The sequence below is a fragment of the Homo sapiens genome, chromosome 2 (genome assembly GCF_000001405.40).
Source record: "Homo sapiens chromosome 2, GRCh38.p14 Primary Assembly".
NCBI classification, from domain to species: domain Eukaryota; kingdom Metazoa; phylum Chordata; class Mammalia; order Primates; family Hominidae; genus Homo; species Homo sapiens.
The window spans coordinates 176,438,900-176,459,609 of record NC_000002.12 but is presented as its reverse complement, the minus strand read 5'-3'; the positions used below and the strand labels follow the sequence as shown (position 1 = coordinate 176,459,609).

Below are 20,710 nucleotides of genomic sequence, written 5' to 3'. Positions count from 1 at the left end.
CGCAAGCTCTCTGGCAGACCCCATGGCCAGGCTCAACACCGCAGTCCCTCCCTATGCTATCAAGCATTTGATCCAGATACAGATCCCATCACAAAGGAGCTCTCAGGCTCACCACTCTTCTTACTGCATTTTCTCAGTACAAAATCTGAGGTTCATGCATTACTTTGTTTTCCAGGGACAACAATGGAATCCTTGTCTTTCCAATCTTATAAAGAATATGGAAATCCCTCACGTCTTACATGGGAGCTCTTCAGATTCCAAGATTCCATCACTCCTCAACACTTCTCCTGCCTCTCTCACCTGGATGATTGCATTACCCTCCCAACTAGTTCCGCCAACCCCCCACCCGACCCCACTGCTTCTTCCCCCTACAGTTCATTCTTAGCCAAACAGATTCTTTTAAAACTAAGCCAAGTTGTGTTACCACAGTGCTCAAAACTCTCCAGGTTACCCAGAAAATCAAAACCACAAGGAGATACAACTTCACACTCACTGGGATGGCTATAATCGAAAAGACAGATAATAACACATGTTGGTCAGGATGCGATGAAATTGGGACCCTCATACACTGCTGGTGGGAACGTAAAATGGTGCAGCTGTTTTGAAAAATAATCTGGCAGTTTCTCCAATGGTTAAACATTTCTATTCCTCACCTAAGAGAGGAATTTCTGGCTAGTTGACTTGATATCCCCCAGGTAGCTTTCCTACAATAACCCTGTGGGGGCTTGACTCAACACTTCTACTCCTAAGTGAGAAACAGAAATGAAAACATATTTCCTCACCAAAACTTGTACCTGAATGTTCATAGGAGTATTATTCATAATTGCTACAAAGTGGAAACAACCCAAATACCTATTAACCGATGAATAAATTAAAAATGGTATATACAGTGGAATATTAGCCAGTAATGAAAAGAAATGCAGTATTAATACATGCTACAACACTGCTGAATCTGAAAACACAGCCCAAAAGAAGCCAGTCACCAAAAATCACATTTTATGTGAGTCCATTTATACGAAATGTCCAGAATAGGCAAATCCATAGAGAAAGAAGGCAGATTAATAGATGTCTAGCACAGAGGGACTTGAGGGTAAGTGGGGAATGGCTGTGGAATTTCTCGTTGGGGTGATGAACATATTCTAAAATTGATTGTTGTGATGGGCTCACAATTCCGTGAATATATTAAAAGCCATCAAACTGTACACTTTATATGGGTGAATTGTATGGTATATGAATTGTATCTCAATAAACCTGTTATTTGATAACAACAAAATCCTCTAGGGCCAAGCACAGAAGCTAGCACGAAGTAGGTGTTCAATAAATATTTGTTGGATAATGAGTGAATGGGGGGATTCAGTCGCAGATTAAATTAATAACATGGAGTAAGCGAGCAGAATTCAGACATGTATCTCAGGTGTGGACTCACTCATATTGTTCCTTGGGAAGCCTTTATGGAAATCTCAGAATCTGGTTGTGTAGTGCAGTCTCCTCCAGGGCCTGCCCTTCCCCCTTTGCCCCATTCATGTCACCTGAATTACCTGTTCTCCGGGAGGACAGAGGACACAGCTGCATCCCCACAACCCCCCAGCACAATTTTTGGTGTTCAATGAACACTTGGAAACTCAGTGCCTGTGTGAGAAACCAATTCAATATTTAATTACATCCATTGTATTTACTAAAAAGCTACTTTATGCCAGGGCAACATATTGGGTGCTATGGGGAATATAAAAAGGTTAACAGGCTTCTGAAATTGTTTGACATGTTATTATAAACATGTACCACTTTTGTAATACAAAAATAAGTAATAGTTTTTAAAAGTTCTAAGTCCTCATCTCCTGAATATTTAAAAGAAAAAAAGTGGTTACTAACTCAGAAAGTCTGCCATCAATAGCTGATAACCACAGATTTCAACATAAATAATTTGGATGCAAGCCATGATGAGCTAAGTGAGTGAATGGAGTGTATCAAAAGTGAATGTGCTTCCAAGTCTGAACCTTGGCTCAGCCTCGTATGAACTATAATTTCAGACAGGCTGCTGGGCTAGTTGGAACCTCAGTTTCCTCATCTGTAACATAGGAACCTTGATACAGCTGTCTACTTTATAGGACTGTTGTGAATATAAAATGAGATCATCAATGTAAAATTCTGCAAATTATCAGTGGCAATATTAGGAGTGGTATACAGAGGAAGAGGTGGTTTCTACAGAGATCTGGAAAGCAGGTGGCCTTTGGTCTAGGGCTTCAGGGAGGTTGTGGTTAATTCCATGGTCTCTGGAGTCAGACTACTCAGGGTTCTAATCCTGGAGTGGCCCCTTATTTGCTTTGGGAATTTGGGCAAGTTACTTCTCATCTGGCTCATTTTCTTTCACTGCTCAATAGGGGAAATTAAAAGCACCTACTTTATAGGGATGTGGTGAGAACTGAGTGAGAAGTTGGATTGTTGTGCTGGTTTAGTAGATAGTAAGCCCTCCATCAAGGGCAGCTGTTACTCAGGTCCTCCTTTTTAAGAGTGACCTGGGCCAAGCACTTTTCGAATGGCTAAAAAGATAAGGATCAAAACAACCTTCTAAACACCACAGTGCCCTGTGAAAAAATTGTCAGCCTCTTAATAATAGTTCATTGTGATCACTCATCCTACAACTATCTTCTGAAGCCTATCACAGTTACTGAAGCCAAAGTTTTCCTTTATGTAGCTGGTTTGAGATACCTTGTGAATGGCTTTAGAAAGCTCTCGAGCAATTTGGCAGTCCCTGTGTTTCCCTGCAATGGGCTATTGGAAACTCCACTAGAAAGCTGATCATCATTGAATACATTGGTGTCTTCCATAAGAATGATGTCAAAGATGGGGACAGTACTGCTATCTGTCCAGACTCAACAGGACACTAAAGATGGGCTAGGTTCCAGAAGAAGAGGAAACCAATAGGTTCTGTGCATGAAGAACCTACATGTGGCCTCATCTTAGTTAGAGAGGGTTTGGTTCACCATTTCACCTCCCCCCCACCCAACTCGTTTCCATTATATATTCCTGTATTAATGAAATTATGTACTTATTACCCATTTCCTTGGTACTCAAACTGTAGTGTGTATCAGAATAACCCAGAGAGCTTGTACAAACACAGATTCCTGGGCCGTATACTAAAGTTTCTTCCTCAGTATGTCTGGGATGGGGCACATTTCCATCAGTTTCCCAGGTGACATGATGCTGCTAGTCTACGGAACACAGAGAATCAGTTACCTATCCTAACAGCTGCTTAGGGGAAAATTTTTGTTTAAGGTTGCCTTTCCCTTTAAAACAACTGTGACAGTAGTAGAGCCTTTCAGATAATGTGTGACGCACGCAGCTTGGGAAGTTTCTAAGGGTGGACCTTCTGAGAGGCACTGATTCAGGAGCTGATCAATTGCAGCTGCTCTGATGAAATATCCTATAATCAGTGACTGCTTGTCTTCACAGACCTCCCTTAGCACAAAAGGTTCCCAGACCAGCTGCAGGCTCCCAGCTTCCTGGAGCAGAGCTGCAGCTGGACCTACTTCCCTCTATCCAGGGGACTTGTGGGTGTGTTAAGGGCCTGAGCAGCCTGGCCTCAAGGGTGGACTTCCTCCCCACTTCCTCCCACCTCCTGACGTCAGCCCTCCTGCCAGAACCAGCCTACACTGTCTGGAGGGCAACTGCTGAAGGTTTGGTTGCCATGGCAACTGATCCTCTATCCACTGAGGGGTAGAGGAACCCTGGTGTGTGATTTGATGGGTGGGCTCCACCATTTCCATTTCTCCAGATGAAAGTATTTCATCACTAGAAACTCCTTTTGCAGTAAGCACTTTTCCATCCACGAATCCCGTCTTACAATCCAAACAGTCCTTAGGAGGAATGTGAATTCTTTCATCAAATGGAGCCTGGTACCAGCCTCAGAGGAGAAATTGCCAGACCTCATCCACGAAGAGAGGCTGACAGCAGCAATGCTACCTCCTTAACAATTGCACCAAAGTCCTGCTGTGAGGTACTTGCTGAGGGTGGAGAGTGACTGCCACCACAACAAACTGAGGTTGAGACCAATAGCTCTCCCTACAGATGGTGACATTTTTTAAAATCTCATGATTAAAAAGCTGAAGACTAGGGATGATCGCCAAACACCTGACCAGTCTGCCATCGTGATGAATAAATGTCCTTTGAGATTGGAATCCTACTGAACAGCACACTTTGTTGATGTTTCAGGACAAATGCACCTTCATGTTTTATTTTATATTTTATTTTGCTGTCAGCTATTTTAAGATCTTGAATCAGGTTACACATAAAAGAACTAGAGCCAGGATGTTTGGGAAATTAACAGATGATATTTAGCAAACATTTTGACGGGTCATAAAGAAACATCTGGGAGAGATGTCTGGGACCACGAGTTGTGTGCTGGGGGAAGGAGGCCCCTCTCCAGCAGCTGCATTAGGTTTCTGGGCTGAGCTGAGCTAAATCTTCAGAACGGATGACCGTGCAGTTCAAAGAGTCCCCAGCAGGGGGCACCCTTTTGCAGTAAACTCTCTCGGTTTTATAGCTTTGCTCTGCAGCAGCCGACCTTACAGATAATTGATATTTTGATTTCTCTAACCCTCTGCTTCCTCCTTCAAAGCAGACACTCCCCTCTAGGAAGCCTTCCTCCCACCTCTTATGAAAATGGACATTTTGATGAGTAGTGGTTCTTATAGCAAGGATTAAAAGCAAAATCTGAGGAAAGATGACTGTCAAGGAAATTAAATATAGATTATGAAGAAGGTTGAATACATGCCCACAAAAGTTTCAAGATAGGCTTGCCTGATTTTCATGATCAACTCAAAGGGCACAAGACATTTCTAGACTGTCTCATAAAAGCCTGCATCAATAATGCATATGTGTATCAGTATAAAACTGGCCTCCAGTTATTTAATTTCTCAAGGGTCAACTGTGTTCCTTGGCAACTTAAGCCTGTGTGGAAAGCACCTCATGTTCCCCTGGCAGTGCATAAATAATTATAATAAATAATCCACTCATTAGCTGAAATAATTAACCCTGTTTTAGACAATCCAAAAACATCTTGGAAGCAAATAATTCAGAAGTGGACAACAGTGTTCTCCTCTCAAAACCAAGATCCAGTATCACCAGCCATTGTTATTTAAACATTTTAAGAGACCTATTACTTTTGTTTTTTGAATAAACTTAGACAGTTTAGCTCATTACTCTCACACTTCACAGCTCCGTAGACACATGTGGGTAATATTCTCATTTTAAACTTGTGATAGATTTTGTAATTTGATAGTTTTTTTTTCATTTTCTTTTAAATATCTTTCTTGCAGGAGTTATTCTCTAGCAAGAGTTCACTATTCACCCTATTCTCTTTGCAGCCTGAGCCATGTTTTAAAAGCCAGTTCACTTATTAATCAAACTCCTATAGAACTTAGGTGGTATCTGTCACTGTTCTAGGCATTCTTGAAATTTTAAGTCCTTTAAACCTCATAACGTGGATACTACTCTTATGTGTTGTCACAGAGAGGTAATTGAGGCACAGAGAAATTAAGTAACTTGCCAGAATATGCAATAAACAGCACATAAACAAGTCAAGATTTGAACCCAGCCTGTCTGAAACCAAAGTCCAAGTATTAAATCAACATGTTACGTTATCTCTTAGTAGAGAAGGGGCAATAGTTGTATACAAACTCAGCTAGTGAGTGGCTATTTTAATGAAATGTGAAGACCTTTGGAAGGTATCTAGTCTAGTCCTTGGCACATAGTACATGTTCAATAAAAATTGGTACTGGGTGAGGAGGACTGATATATGTACACATATATATTGACCTATATTCATTTAGGGAAGTGGTTGGGAGCACTTGGTTATGCAGAAGTAGGATATTTCCAGCTCTTTCCATCACTATCTGTGTGGCCTTACTAAACCAACTCAATCACACTAATATCCATTTCCCCATCAGGAGATAATACCAGTAGATGCTACCTCACAGAGGTGAAGTGAGGATAAATGAAATAAGGCACACAAAAAACTTAGCACGGTGACTGGCATAGGGTAAAAGGTTATGATTCTTCCCTTTGGTTTCATTTAAACCCAGTTTTATTTAAAGACTTAGTGTATAGTATCATATAAGAGCAAATATTTATTCAAACATTCCCCCAAAAAGCAAGTTCAGCTATTTTTGGAGAGACACAGAAGCCTTTGGTAATCAACATTGATTGAGGGTTTTGAAAGGAAAAAACATTAACAGCACTATTAGAAAATCAGTTATGGGCTGAAATTTGCAAGGTTTATGGAGCTTCAAGTTCAATACTCCTCTGTCCCCAATACTTTATAATATGTGCCAGAGAAAACTGGAAATTCTACCCTTGACAGCCCAGACGATAAAGAAATCACAGAGGAGAAACAGATTGGCCATGCTTAGGGCAACAGAAGGGGAAAGCAGGCCTGACCCCCTCCTTCCCTCTCCTTGCTCCATCTCTCACCCCCATGCCATCACCTCTTCTCATTTCCTTCTCACTTCCTCTGGCCTGACTCCTCCTTACCACACCTTCTCCTGGAGCAGCTGTTGAATGGTGAAAGAGCACAGTGAGCTGCCTTTGCTGCCAGTGGCTGTGACAAGGCCCAGGTGGCCTCAGTGAATGATCAGGGTGGTCATGGCCTGACATGGATGGAGAGTGATTTTCCTCAGTCCACTATAGATGCGTAAGGGCCATTTTGGACCACTGCATGACACCTGATTAATGACTCCATATCAGTCCAGGGTAGCATTTTTCCAGTGGTCACATGCATGGCTGGGAAGTAGTATTTATGTGCCATCTTCCTGGGATTCTCGTGGACTCCATAGGCAATTTGAAGATAAGATTTTTTTTTTAAAGAGTCTTGCTCTGTCACCCAGGCTGGAGTGCAGTGGTACGATCTCGGCTCACTGCAGCCACCATCTCCCGGGTTCAAGTGATTCTCCTGCCTCAGCATCCCGAGTAGCTGGGATTACAGGCACCTGCCACCACGCCCAGCTAATTTTTGTGTTTTCAGTAGAGACGGGGTTTCACCATGTTAGCCAGGCTGGTCTTGAACTCCTGACCTCATATGATCCGCCTGCCTCGGCTTCCCAAAGTGCTAAGATTACAAGCGTGAGTCACCGTGCCTGGCCAAGATTTTAATATTGCTTTTTTTTTTGTTTGTTTGTTTTGCCACTTCTTGATGGTTTCTTTTACACCCAAAAAGAACTTTTCACTGATAAGGATTATGTGATGGCATAATTCTAAAATACAGAAAGAAAAAGAAAGAATCCAGAGACCTTGGTGCTGGGAAGAGGGGCCAGGCAGAGCCTTGGAAGTGGTGAGAAATACCAGGATCTCTCATGACCCACAAACAAGCCTGGAGACTGCTCCATGGTGTGTCTCCATATTTGTACATCCTGGGGAGCCCAAAGGACAGTTGGGGTCTTTTTATCAAAAACAGTAGGAAATAAATCCCAAAGAGATTTTACTATATAATCATATGTTTGCTGACATATTTCAAGCTCCCTTTACATGCCCAACACTGGGCTAGGAGCAACAGAGAGAAATAAGGCATAGTTCTTGCCTTCAAGGGACTTGCAGTCTGGTGGAGCGGAGGTCAAGGAGACCAGCCTTCACACACAGGATGCTGTGGACACCAGAGGGGAGTGCAGGGAGGGGAGCCTAACTTAGCTGAGGCTGTCTTGCAGAAAGCTTTGCGAGCCACCTGATCCTTAACAAACCTAGAAAGGAGGTTCTAGGCATCAGGAACTGCACCAAAGCATACAAGCACATGGAACAAATAGATACTGCAAGAAGCAAAGCTTACTCATGGGGAAATCATGAGAGATGATTCAAAGGTGGACAAGAGCCAGACTGTGAGTGGCCATGCTAAAGAATGAGAATTATAGGCCGGTCACAGTGGCTCACACCTGTAATCCCAGCACTTTGGGAGGCCAAGGTGGGCAGATCACCTGAGGTCAGCCTGGCCAACATGGTGAAACCCAATCTCTACTAAAAAAACAAAAAAATAGCCTGGCATGGTGGTGGGTGCCTGTAATCCCAGCTACTTGGGAGGCTGAGACAGGAGAACCACCTGAAATCAGGAGGTGGAGGTTGCAGTGAGCTGAGATCATGCCACTGCACTCCAGCCTGGGCAACAAGAGTGAAACTTCCTCTCAAAAAAAGAATGAGAATTGTAGACTCCAGGAGAAAGGAAACCACTAAGGTATGAGCTTGAGAGTGATACAATCAGAGTTGAATCTTAGAAAAATCATCTGGCAAGAGTGCAGGAGCTTATTGCCAAGGGTTGATCTGACAGTAGAAAGACCATAACCTGGGCTCACTTTGCAACTCCTTTCCCAAAGTGAATTTTCACCTGACATTAAAGAAACATCCCAGCAGCCCACATTTATAGGGGCCAATGGCTCTAACACTGACTCCTCCTACCTGCGTAGATGAAGCAGGGCCATGAATTATTTGCAGCTCTTTTCTTAAAGAGATGGAATCCATTTTCCTACTCCTTGAATCAGGGCTGCGCTTGTGACTTACTTTGACCAACAGAAGTGTTGTTGTGAGGCTTCCAAGCCCAGGCCTTAAGAGATCTTGCAGCTTCCACTCTCACTCTTCTGAAACACCGCTATCACCATATAGGAAAGCCCAAGCTAGCTTCCTTGAGGATAAGGCCAAGTAGAGAGGCCCAGACAGCAAGCTGTTCCAGCAATTCACTCACATATGAATGAGATGGTCCCCACCAGCCAGCCTCCAAGCAACCCACCAATCAATTGCCACATAGGTGACTCCAGGAGGCAAGATAAGCAGAAGAACCATGGAGATGAACCCAGCACAAATTACAAAATCAAGAAATTAATGGTTGTTGTTTCACACCGCTATCTCTTGAGTGGTTAGTTACCCAACAATAAATAACTGGTCCTCCTTTATACTGCAATTTGTGAAAGCTGGCACTGGAACAACAAGCTGTCCAGATATTTGCAAGAATTAATACTGTCTGGAGGGTAAATAGACGCCATATCCCTAGAGCAGAAGGGGTTTCTGCAGGGATTGTCTGAGTCTCCTTCCCTCCAGAGTGCCAATTAGGATGGCTGACTTGCTCTAACTTATATCTAACTATAAATGCACTGTCTGATTGATAGGACATCAATGTTAATTAATAATTCATAGTATGGTCAGACTTTTTCACATGTAATCACAACTTTACATCTCAAGAAATGCCCCTGTAGCTAGTTGGAAAGCAGCTTTTCCTTCAGATTCTGACTTTCAAAAAAAGTTATCACAGTCTCTCAGAGTAGAATTTGGAGAAAGTGTGTGAAAAAGTCAAAGTTGACAAGAAATGCCATTTTTCTCCTTGGTGCATGATGCCTTTCCTGCAGAATGTAGCTTTCATGTGAACAAACCCCACTGCAGGGACAGACAAGGAGAAGACAAAATGATTCGGTATTTACAGCCTCTCCCATTAACCACTCAGATTCCAGATGGTGGAAAGTCGGGGAGGAGCCCTGAAACAGGCGCTTGAAACCAAAGCTGATGCTATTGAAATTCATGGCATCCAAATTCCTGAATCTGCATCAAAAGGGAGAGAGCCTTGTTGCCACACACTTGAACTCATTTTGAACCTGCAGGAATTCTCTGTAGCATACTACCAAGCTTTATCTTTGTTCCATACATCTAAAGTTAAGTTTCTATCTTTTTTGTCACCACATCATACCAAAACAGCTAGACAGATTTTTATCAATTTTGAGGATGTGTTTAGGATGTCCCAACTTGAAGAAACAGGCCATGGGGCTTGCAAACATGCAAGTCACTACAGGAGGCCCTGGGGAGCAGGTAAAAATGAGACAGGAGAGGTGCTGATAACTACTAATCTGAGATATGGCAAGGAAGAAAACAAAATGGAGTTTCAGATGCGAGCCCAAACTGAAACTCATGAAGGCCTCTCAACTGCAAGCATCAGTTCAAGATAGAACTGCTTCTCGAGAAGCTGCATTTATGGTGTCCTCCCTATGACCAGCAGCAGGGATTTATTCATTTAATGAGGGTTAAAGAGTCTTCCCAGTAACACAGGGGAGACCAGTGAGTGTAAGAAATACATATGGGCAGTGTACCTTGAGAGACACACTTTTTGGAAACAAAGACATATTCAAAGCTGAGTTCAAATATGTTCCCCTCATGGCTCGTGGCGAGCATTTAATAAACAATAGTTGAATGAATGAAGAAATGATTGGATGGGTGACTGAGTGAATGAATGAAGGAATGATTGGATGGGTGACTGAGTGAATGAATGAAGGGATGAATGTTGTCTGGGGAGCTGTGAAAGGTAGAGAAGCAAAAGGGAACTTCTGGCAATACCCTTCACAGAAAGCCAAGCCTTGTTAGCGGGGCTTTACATTGAATGGCATTTTTAGTTTCATTATCTAATAGTGTTGAACATTCTCAAACTATATTTAAAAGATCTAAAATATAAAACAGTGGCTTTAAAAGGCAAACATTATACTCCTTCTGTAGTACTTTTTATAAGATCTGTTTACCTCGTGCTTAATATTGGCAATGCCACTGTTCCTGCAATGAATTGACAAAACAGTTCAATACACCTCATTTAGAACCATTATGGGGCATTTCATCAAAGATCTGGTTATGAACGTCCCCAAAGAAAGGATCAATTAGATTTTTATTATGCTTGGGAAAGATTTATTTAAGAAAAAAAAATCCCTATAAAATGGAGGGGACAGATAAAGTGTGACCAGGGCAAAGGACACATTCCATTTTATGCCACTGAAGATAAATATAATTTTTATTTTAACAATAGTCTATTCCCACATATATTATCCATGTAATTGTTTATGTTTCAAAACCCACTTCATAGCAGTTTTACAAGTGGCAGAGATAGACTATTCTCAAGAGGTTGTGCTCAAGAACTGCCTTAAAGAGAAAACGGCACTATAATTAGCGCATTTGGTACATTAGCGATAAAGCACTCCTTGGAGGGCAAGACAGGCCCATAGCCCACCAAACTCCTCCCTCTTGGAAGAGTGCTAGAGTGAGGCTCTCTGGTGGCTCACACATTGCTACAATTGGGTCAAGGTTCTCCTGCATCGTGGTCTTAGGTAAAGATACCATGAAACATTTAATCATGTATTTATTTTCTCTACACAAAATGTATTAATTTAGCCTTAATTTGATTTTGTTTAGTCTCATATAGTTTTATAACTTGATAAGAAAAACATTTCTACTTGGCTTTAATATTTTTCATTATACCTGCCAAGTCAATAATTTGAAGAAAGCTGGATAAAATTTTCAAAAATTTTTGGATTTATATTGTTTCCCCAGTTTTGTTCAGCCTTATCAATAAGCTCTTATTCTTATTGTCCTCTATACAAATCTTAGAGGCATGTAATCTCAAGGCAGGCACTTGAGAAGAGCAAACATTGTTTCCCTATAGGTATCAGTCAAGATTCTTTGGGTACAAGCCAGAGAAACAGACTCTGGCTAATGCAAGAAGCAGGTTATGGGAAGGATACAGCTCATGGAGAGGAGGGCGAGAAGAGCAGAAACTCAGACAGTACCAGTGACCTCCCTCTCAGAGCCCCAGACTCGGTTCCACCCATCTTCAGTCTCTCAAGATAGGGAACCTGATTGGCCCAGCTTGGGTCTAAAATCTCTATCCTTGAACCAATCAGATGAGGTCAGGAGCTAGGGATGAAACCGCAGACAGGGTCACTAAGGGTACTATGAGCTGCACAGCCATCCTCTCTCATGTCCACTACACTCTAGACTTGTATCTTGTAAATATTGCCTAAGTTACTTTTATTGCATCATATCTGACAATAATAAGTGCTTATATTTTTGTAGAATAAGCTCAAAAACAGGCATTTGTGCAGTTTTACAGTTTTAAAATACTTGATATATATTATTATTATTAATAGCAAAGTATTATAAACAGCAAAAGCTATCATTTCTAACAGTAAATCACCACTTACATGCTTACAAGGTGCAGGGCTGGTGCTAAACACTGAATAAATTGTTACAACAAACTAACAGGTTTGTGTCATTATTAAGTTTGTTAGATATTTCAAGAATAAATAAAGTAAAATAATACATATAAAATTTAAGTTCTATCTCATATATGGATTTATTTGAGCTTCCCAAGACCCTGTTGAAATAATAATTACTCACAATACACACAGTCAAGGATAAAAAGACCCAGAGAGCCAGAGTGCCTGCTCTGTACCTATAAATGACAGAATCCTCATCCCCTACCTGCTCGTCCAGTGCTCTTTACAATGTAAGGACAACAGAACTTGAGAGGATCTATCAATAAGGACACTTCTAGAGCTTTGCCTATCTTAAACAAACTCACTCGTAGTTCATAGGCTCAGGAGTAATTATGGAGATAAATTCTTACTGGGTCGGATTTCAGTTTTGTTTATTTCCTTTGACAGGAAGAAGGAGGAAGTGAATTCATTAGGGTACAGTCTAAACTGCTATAACTAATAGACTCAAAAGTTAAGTGACTTAATTTCTTTCATACCTGTGTCTGGAGTGAGCAGGCCAGGACAGGGAGAGCAGTCTTACCCTCCTGCACCTGTGGCTTCAAGTTATCACCATTTTCCAGCCAGTGGGAAGGAGGAAGAGGGATGTTTAGGACATGTAGCTTAGGCTTTAAGGCCCAGAATTTGTGCATTCTCACATTAGCTCACATCCTATTGACTCAAATATAGTCACATAACCACACCTAACTGCAAGGGAAGCTGGGAAATACACTCTCTAGCTGAGCCAGACTGCCCAGCTAAAAGTTATGGGATGCTGTTTCTAAAAGAGAGGAGGGGAACATCGAAATCAGGGGAAATGAACCATTTTTGGCCCAAGGAGTATTTTTATGTGTTCTTTCTTTAAGCAATCAGAATTTGAGAAAAATACCCCATAACCAGGGTCAGATCTAGATTTTTCTGGAGCCTGAAGCTCATATAATCAGGGTGGAGGCAGGAGCAAAGATCTTTCTCAGGGAAAATAATACAAAAATATCTAACTTTTGGAAATGTTGCAAAGCATATGATATTGTGACCACATTGCTAAGACCCTTCCAAGGCCTTGTATGGGTGGGGTCTGTACACAAGTGAGAAGCCCAGAAGCTTAAGCCTCATTAACTTTGGGGAAAACCGGTTTATGCCTGCAACAGTTACATTCTTCTAACTTCTTGTTCCTGCAAACTTATGATCACATAAAAGCTGTTATCCTGTATCTGGAATAAATGTTGGGTCAGTGACAGAAACAGTTTGATTTTTACTGTAGCCGGTTCAGTTAGTCTCTCCGCCTGGTGGCCCAGCTGGTGGTTAAGAGGCCTTTAGTGAGCAATACTGACCAGTTGGTCTCTGCTTGGCCATAAATAAACACAGCCAGAATAATGACTCATAGAAAGCAAATGGTAATGTTTGTTTGATGGTTTGTTTCATTTTGTTTAAGCTGAATTGGAAGAGCTGGTTCCTATTCATCACCATTCCAACCAGCATTGTGGGCTAGGCAAGAGGGAGCCGGTGGCCGGTGCCCTCTGGGCCTCAGGTCCAGAATCAGTAAAATGAGGAGCAGAGCTGAACCCTGCTCATGGCTCCTACAATGAAGTGAAGATGCTGGTGGAATCTTAGTGAAATGTGCTCTAACCTGCTCCTCTTCATGGGCCTGAGCCTAAAGAAAAACAATCTATCATTGCAATGGCCTCTTAACCATTTGCCCACAGCAAATAACAAAGCATGGCAGGCACAATTTACTAAATTTACCTTAAACAGGGGAGAGAAAGCTGGTTGCAAGTCACTCTTCCTAGAATGCTCTTCTCCATTAGATATTTCCAAAAGTGACAGTTCTTAGTATAGCTCACTCATTCCATTCATTCATTCTATGACCATTTATTTTTACCTGCTCTATGGAGGTAGACCAGAGAACATAGGAATGGACAAGGGAAGGGCATTGAAACCAAGGATTTGTACATACACACACACACACACATACACACACACACAAAATGCAGGGTAAGAAGGGCTGGGCCAGAGTTATGCATAGAGCCATGGGTACTCATGCATAATCTGGAACTAGAAGTAGGGTACAGGTGTCCCATCAAGTGAGGACGGTTGAGATTAGTCCCCATTCAGTTTTATTTTTCTTCCTAAGTCACCAGGCTGGTGTGACCCTTTACAGAGTACTGAGTCTCTCTCTTGCATGATACCAATCACATGCCCCTGCACGGTACTCTACAATGCCCTTCTCTCTCCCGTTGTAATATAAGCTGTGGAGGATGACGGGAGGAATATGAGCAGTGTGCATGTGGAAAGAACACTAATATTTATTAAGTGTCTATTTTAAGTCAGTTTACATATTTTGTTTCATTTAAATCATTTAAAAAAAAACTCAATGAGGAAGATAATATCCACATTTCACAGATAGGAAAACTGAGGCTTCAAAAAAGCTTGGGAATTTGTCCAGGCTCATGTAACTAGTAATGGTAGAGTGAGGACTTGAGACTGGTCCTTTCTGACCACAAAGCCAATATACTTTCTAGATAACAGACCTACTCCTTTCTCTTTTACCCCATAGTACATAGTACACTTAATTACTATTTGTTAATAAGGGAATCTTTCTACTGAAACATCTGTCTCACTGGGCCTTTCTTCTTGGGCCTTGTTTAAATTAGTAACAAGGAAACCTACCACAGCTGTTTTCTCCTGATAGAGACATCCATCAGTTCAGGACAACGATGTAAACTACTTTGGCAGAAGTCATTAAATAATGATCGCTTGGCAACAACTCTAACCTATCCACATGAAAAAAGGATATTACCCTCCGGAATATTATTTCATGATGGGTGCTGGGAAACCTATGCTCTGTACCTTTGGTTCTTAAGAAAACAAACAAACAAACAAACAAACAAAAAACAATGAAAAGAAGAATAAAACAGCTCATGATTACTGGAAGTATTTTTTTTTTTTACCACACAAACTGATTTCTGCATTGAATGGCAGATATGTGATTTCATTTGGCCGGTTGCAGTCACACCAAAAGCAAATTTTCTTTTTTACCAAATTCTATTATATTTCCTATTACTGGGGCATGGGAAAATATTACCTAGTATTTCCCATTTAGTGTTCTTAGAAGAGAATCATCTATCTTCTGTTCTAAGAAAAAGTAACTAGGTATGTTTTTTAGTTAGTATTAATATTCTAACCACTAAGTTCCATGTGCTATTATATAAATAATACAAAATAGGTTATTGAAAATTTGATAAAAACACTTGGCCATATGATATATATATATTGTTCACATCACAGAAGTTAGACTAGCACAATGAATTTAAGCTGATTTAAGGTTTTGTGTCTGTGCACACAAATTCAGCAGTTCTGTGTTCTGATGCTCTTTCCAAACTCTGAGCCCCAGAAGTATGCAACTTTGCATGAAATATTTGAAATAACTTATGTTAATAGTCACACTTTTATTGAAATCCAACTCATTTTTTAAAAACTGAAATCCTTAGCACACTCTAAGGGAAGACTCAAGACTCCTCTTCAAGTGATTCAAGAGAAAGCTAACATAGGCTGATAAAGATTGTTCTAACAAAACGGTAATCTATATAAGTGGAGCTGTTGGCTATGGCTATCAGAGCAGCAACAGCAGCCGACTGGGAAGGTGAATTGAAGCAGTCAGTTGGAAGGAGAGGATGCTACCCCAGTAATAATTTAGGGAGAAAAAGATAGCTATTTCCTATTAGTTCATGTAAAGGTAATCAGAACTTTTAAAACTCCAGCTCTAGTATACTTTAATACTTGCCCAGATTTGGTGAAAAGCAGGATTACCCCCATTTTTGGTTTTGGTTTTTCAAGTGTGGGCATTTTTAGTTACCTTCTTTTTTTTTTTTTTTTTTTTTTGTGAGAGGGAGTCTCACTCTTGTTGCCCAGGCTGGAGTGCAATGGTGCGACCTTGCGACCTTGGCTCACTGCAACCTCTGCCTCGTGGGTTCAAGTAATTCTCCTGCCTCAGCCTCCCAAGTAGCTGGGATTACAGGTGCCTGCCACTACGCCCAGTTATTTGTATTTTTAGTAGAGACGGGGTTTTGCCATACTGGCCAGGCTGGTCTTGAACTCCTGACCTCAGGTGATCCACCCACCTCAGCCTCCCAAGGTGCTGGGAATACAGGCGTGAGCCACCGTGCCTGGCCTAGTTACCTTCTTTAATGAACCCCAGAATCATAGAGTTCATGTATCTCTACAAACATACTTCATAATTTGTTAGTCCATTTGTATCACTGTAAAGGAATACCTAAGTCTGAGTAATTTATAAAGAAAAAAGATTTAATTGGCTCACAGTTCTGCAGGCTGCACAAGCATGGCACCAGCATCTGCTCCTGGTGAAGACTTCAGGGAGCTTCCAAACACGGTGGAAGGTGAAAAGGGAGCAGGCATGTCCCATAGCAAGAGCAGGAGCAAAAGAGGAAGGAGGAGGAGCCAGCTCCTTTAAACAACCAGCTCTCATGAGAACTAACACAGTGAGAACTCACTTATTACCATGGGCAGGGCACCAAGCCATTCATGAGAGATCCACCCCCATGACCCAAACATCTGCCACCAGACCCCACCTCCATTACGGATCCCATTTCAACATGAGATTTGGAGGGAACAAACATCCAAACCACATCAGAGTTGAAGACAGCAAGGTAGAGAGAAGCAAAGTGACACATTCAGGTTCACAACCCTTTGGAAAAGCCAAGATGAGATGCCAGTCCTCTAGACTAGGGTTTCCCAACCTCGGCACTATTAACATTTTAGATAACTCTTTGTTGTGGGAGGCTTTGTTGTATTATATTGTGTATTGGACAGTAATCTTCTCATTCTGAGCCTATTTATAAAGGAACTGATTCCAAACTCCAACCCATCTCTGGTCTGCTTCTGTTTACATTAGCAACGTGTGCATTGTAGGATCTTTATCAGCATCCCTGGTCTCTACCCACCGTATGTCAGTAGCACCCATCTCGCAGTTGTAACAACCAAATACATCTCCAGGTTTTGCCACATGTTCCCTGGGAACCAAAACCAACCCAGTTGAGATCCATTGCTCTTGACTTACTTTGATTTGCCTAGTGATTCTTAGCTCCAAACCAGTCCCAGTTATGACCCAGATTGCTTTAGGTCATTTGCCCATTTCAGAGAAGTCCCTCTTTCTCTTTAGAGGAATTGTGGTGCACTAGAAAGGGCACAGAGTCTTGTGCCCCTGGAAAATATAGGTTTTAATCCGGGTTTTGTCACTCACTCACTGGGAGCCCTTGGACAATATTTTAAATTTCTCATAGCCCCATTTTCTCAATTGTTAGTGGGAATTAAAATGCCGGCTTCCAAGATAAAGTGTTAAGTAAATTGTGTCTGAAAACCGTGACACAATGCCTGGAACACCAGAAAAGCACAATAATGTTAACTCCCTGTCACTAATCATGGTACCAAAACTACCAGAGAAGAGGAAGGGTTTACCAATGGAAATATGGTAGAGCTGTAGTGTAGATCTTGAAGATTCCAAGTTGGAAAAGCTGGCTGACACAGGAAAACTTTATAACCAAGCTTTGCTGGGAATTATCAGGCCTTCCCAGAGGACCAAGAGTCTAACTGAATTCTAGCTATTCATGAGGCTAAACCAAGAGAAGCACAACCAAGTAGCTGGGATGCAATTGGAAACACCAAGACAGAAACACGCATGCAATAAGACTCAGGCCTTGAGCCTGAATGAGATCTGGGTGCATTTGTCAGGAATAGATAGGGGGTTGGGACTGAGGAACTGCTTTGTCTCAAATTATAAAGATCTTACTCTTCATCAAACAGAAGTTTCTTTCTTTTGGAAGTCTTTGGCAATGTCTGAACTTCAAAACATGTTGAAAACACTACCAATTATCTTCCATGGAAAAATATCTGGAAAAACTTTACCACACATGCCAAGGCAACATGATCCCCAAAACAACTCTTTAGAAAAAGTTTAGTCAAAACTTCCCAGTTCTTAAAATTTTATTTTGCCCATGATGCTTTATTATCTACAAGACAATGTCTATTTCATTCTGAGCCTACTATCTATTAATGACTTGATTCCAAGCCCTGAACCATCTCTATTCTACTTCTCTTTATGGTATCAATTGAAAATGTGTGAATAATAAAAAGTAGAAATAAATCATTTAAGTTAAAAATAGTTAACTACAATCTTATTTCATTGCTTTTAAATTTTAGTATTCTTTTAAAACAGAAGTAAAATGCTATATACCTGAAGACATCCATAGCAGTTTTATCTATGATAATACAACCTCCATTACCATCACCAACAACACAAACCTAGAAACAACTTCAATATCTGTTACGGATGAAATCACTTGTCCCAAAAAAAGATGCATTGATGTCCTCAATTCCAGTACCTCAGAATATGAACTCATTTAGAAGAGGGTCTTTGCCGATTTAGTCAGGATGAAAGGTCTTTAGGGTGAGTCTAAATCCACTATAACTGCTTTCTTTATAAAAAGAGGAAATTTGGGCCAGGCTTACAACTGTCATACCAGCACTCTGGGAAGCCAAGGCAGGAGGATCACTTGGGGGCAAGAGTTCAAGATCAGACTGGGAAACAAAATGAGACTTTCATCTCTACTAAACATAAAAATAATTGGCCAGGCATGGTGGAATGCTGCTGTAGTCCCAGCTACTTGGAAGGCTGAGGTGGGAAGATCATTTGAGCCAGGGAGGTTGAGGCTACAGTGAGCAGTGATCGTACTACCACATTCCAGCCTAGGCAACAGAGAGAGACTCTGTCTCTAAAAGTACTAAATTTCTTTTTTAAACTGCGGGGGATGGAGGAAAGGATCTGGACATGACACAGACATGCACAAAGAGAAGACTATGTGAAGAGACAGGGAGAATATAAGGCAAAAACTGAGGATTGAAGTGATGTGTCTTTGGCCAAGGAAAGCCAGAGATTGCTGGCAAGCCACCAAAAGCTAGGAAGAGGCACACTCCCCATACAGGTTTCAGGGGAAGCATGGCTCTGCTGCTACCTTGACTTTGTATTTCTAGTGTCCAGAACTGTGAGACAATATATTTCTGTATGTTTAAGTCACCCAGTTTGTGGTACCTCGTTACAGCAACACTAGCAAAGACATACTATGTCTAACAAGAGAGACACGTAATTAAATTATGAAAGGTCAAACTAATGAAACATTTTATAACCACTAAAAATTATAATTTTAAATGATTTCGTGGAAACTTGGAAATTTATTAGAGTATAAGGGTACATATTATAGTGATGAAAAACATATTACTGAATCATATGTACTCTGAATATAATAATATAAATGTTTCTGTTACTGGGATAATATATTGCAAATGTTAAACCCATGAATTTCTATTTCCCACTTTGGATCATGGCTGCTTCTGCCTTTGACTTCCAGGCTAAACCAATAGGGTGATTGCCCCAGGGAACGTATGCAGGTAAATAGTGCAGTGGAATATGTAGTCAGAACAAAGAGGCAATTAATTAGCTTTGAGTCTCAGAACCAATTTTCTTTTTTCTTTCATAAAACATTGGTCTTGAAAGCAAGACTTGGTTGAAGGAGAGAGGAGTGTCTAAATAACAAAGTGTCCTTGTTAAAATATGTAAGATGAGGCTCGCCAGCTAGATCATAGTTTTAATTGAGGAAGGTTCCTACCCAATAAGAAGATGAGGGGATGCGTGTTGGCTGGTGGGAAGGCAGGCTTTGGCCCCCTCGTCTTTAGATTCTGGAAGAAATGTGGCCTACACCCAACTGGAGGCTGCCGATCCCAGTAAACACTGCAGGGCAGAATGGGCTGTGAACACAAAGGCTTTTATGGGTCACCCTGGATTCTGCATGGCTTGGATAGGACCCAGAGGTGCTTTCATGTCTCCAGGGCAGACACAGTTGGCAACTAAGCTGAGAGACAGCCTGGGGACACCCCAGGTGATGAATGAAGTGGAAGGACCCAGCCAGGGCAAATGGAGCATGTGGCACAGGCTCAAAGGGCCTAATAGGAGATGAGGTAAGGGATGCCAAGTCCCTGGGAGAAACCTCCAGCCTTTCCCAAGCAAGACTACAGATGACACCAGCAGCAGGCCTCAGCCTCAGCTGTCAGCTGACACCCATCATGGGACTGGTCCCACCCCAGCAGTCACCCTCCCAGGAAGCCACCAGACCAACAGTTCAGAACAGGGACCAATACGGATCCCACGGAAATCTCTAAAGATTCAAGGACCCCCGGGTCCTTCTACCTTATATTCCCAAGTCCTTTTAAGAGAGGAGCAGGGCAGGGTGGGCGTGAGTCACAGCCCATTTTATCTAAAGCATCTGAACTTCTATAAAGACTGATTAAATGACTGCAATAGACTAAATTTGCCAGTTAGCAAAAATCTAGTGGTTAACATTTCTCTCCAGGAAAGATCAAGATCTGTATCTTGACTACCAAGATACAGATGGGGATTTATGAGGAAGATCAAGTTGGTTTTATATAAACAAAAAGCTATATTTTTTGCACAGCTAAGTATATTATGAGAAAATTTGTGACCTTACAACATGAATATGTAGACAAAGATTAAAAGGAAATATCCAAAATGAAAATAATTTATATTGTCAATATTTTACATTGTTTAAAAATAATCTTGCCTAGTCCCTGTCTCTAAAGAAGATTCTACGGTTGCT

The 20,710-nt window shown here is 41.4% G+C and overlaps 4 annotated features.

Moving 5' to 3' along the window:
- Positions 4,375–4,669: a silencer, noted in NCBI's record as "tiled region #13302; K562 Repressive DNase matched - State 12:CtcfO". NCBI's record gives its function as "represses a minimal TATA promoter and a strong SV40 promoter by Sharpr-MPRA in K562 cells {active_cell/tissue: K562}" and the evidence as "EXISTENCE:reporter gene assay evidence [ECO:0000049][PMID:27701403]".
- Positions 4,409–4,458: a silencer, noted in NCBI's record as "silent region_12137". NCBI's record gives its function as "represses an Ori minimal core promoter by ATAC-STARR-seq in GM12878 lymphoblastoid cells {active_cell/tissue: GM12878}" and the evidence as "EXISTENCE:reporter gene assay evidence [ECO:0000049][PMID:35858748]".
- Positions 9,255–9,862: an enhancer, noted in NCBI's record as "OCT4-NANOG-H3K27ac hESC enhancer chr2:177314476-177315083 (GRCh37/hg19 assembly coordinates)". NCBI's record gives its function as "activates a minimal SCP1, AML or CMV promoter by ChIP-STARR-seq in primed H9 embryonic stem cells {active_cell/tissue: H9 hESC(primed)}" and the evidence as "EXISTENCE:reporter gene assay evidence [ECO:0000049][PMID:30033119]".
- Positions 9,395–9,689: a silencer, noted in NCBI's record as "tiled region #8538; HepG2 Repressive non-DNase unmatched - State 21:Repr". NCBI's record gives its function as "represses a minimal TATA promoter and a strong SV40 promoter by Sharpr-MPRA in HepG2 cells {active_cell/tissue: HepG2}" and the evidence as "EXISTENCE:reporter gene assay evidence [ECO:0000049][PMID:27701403]".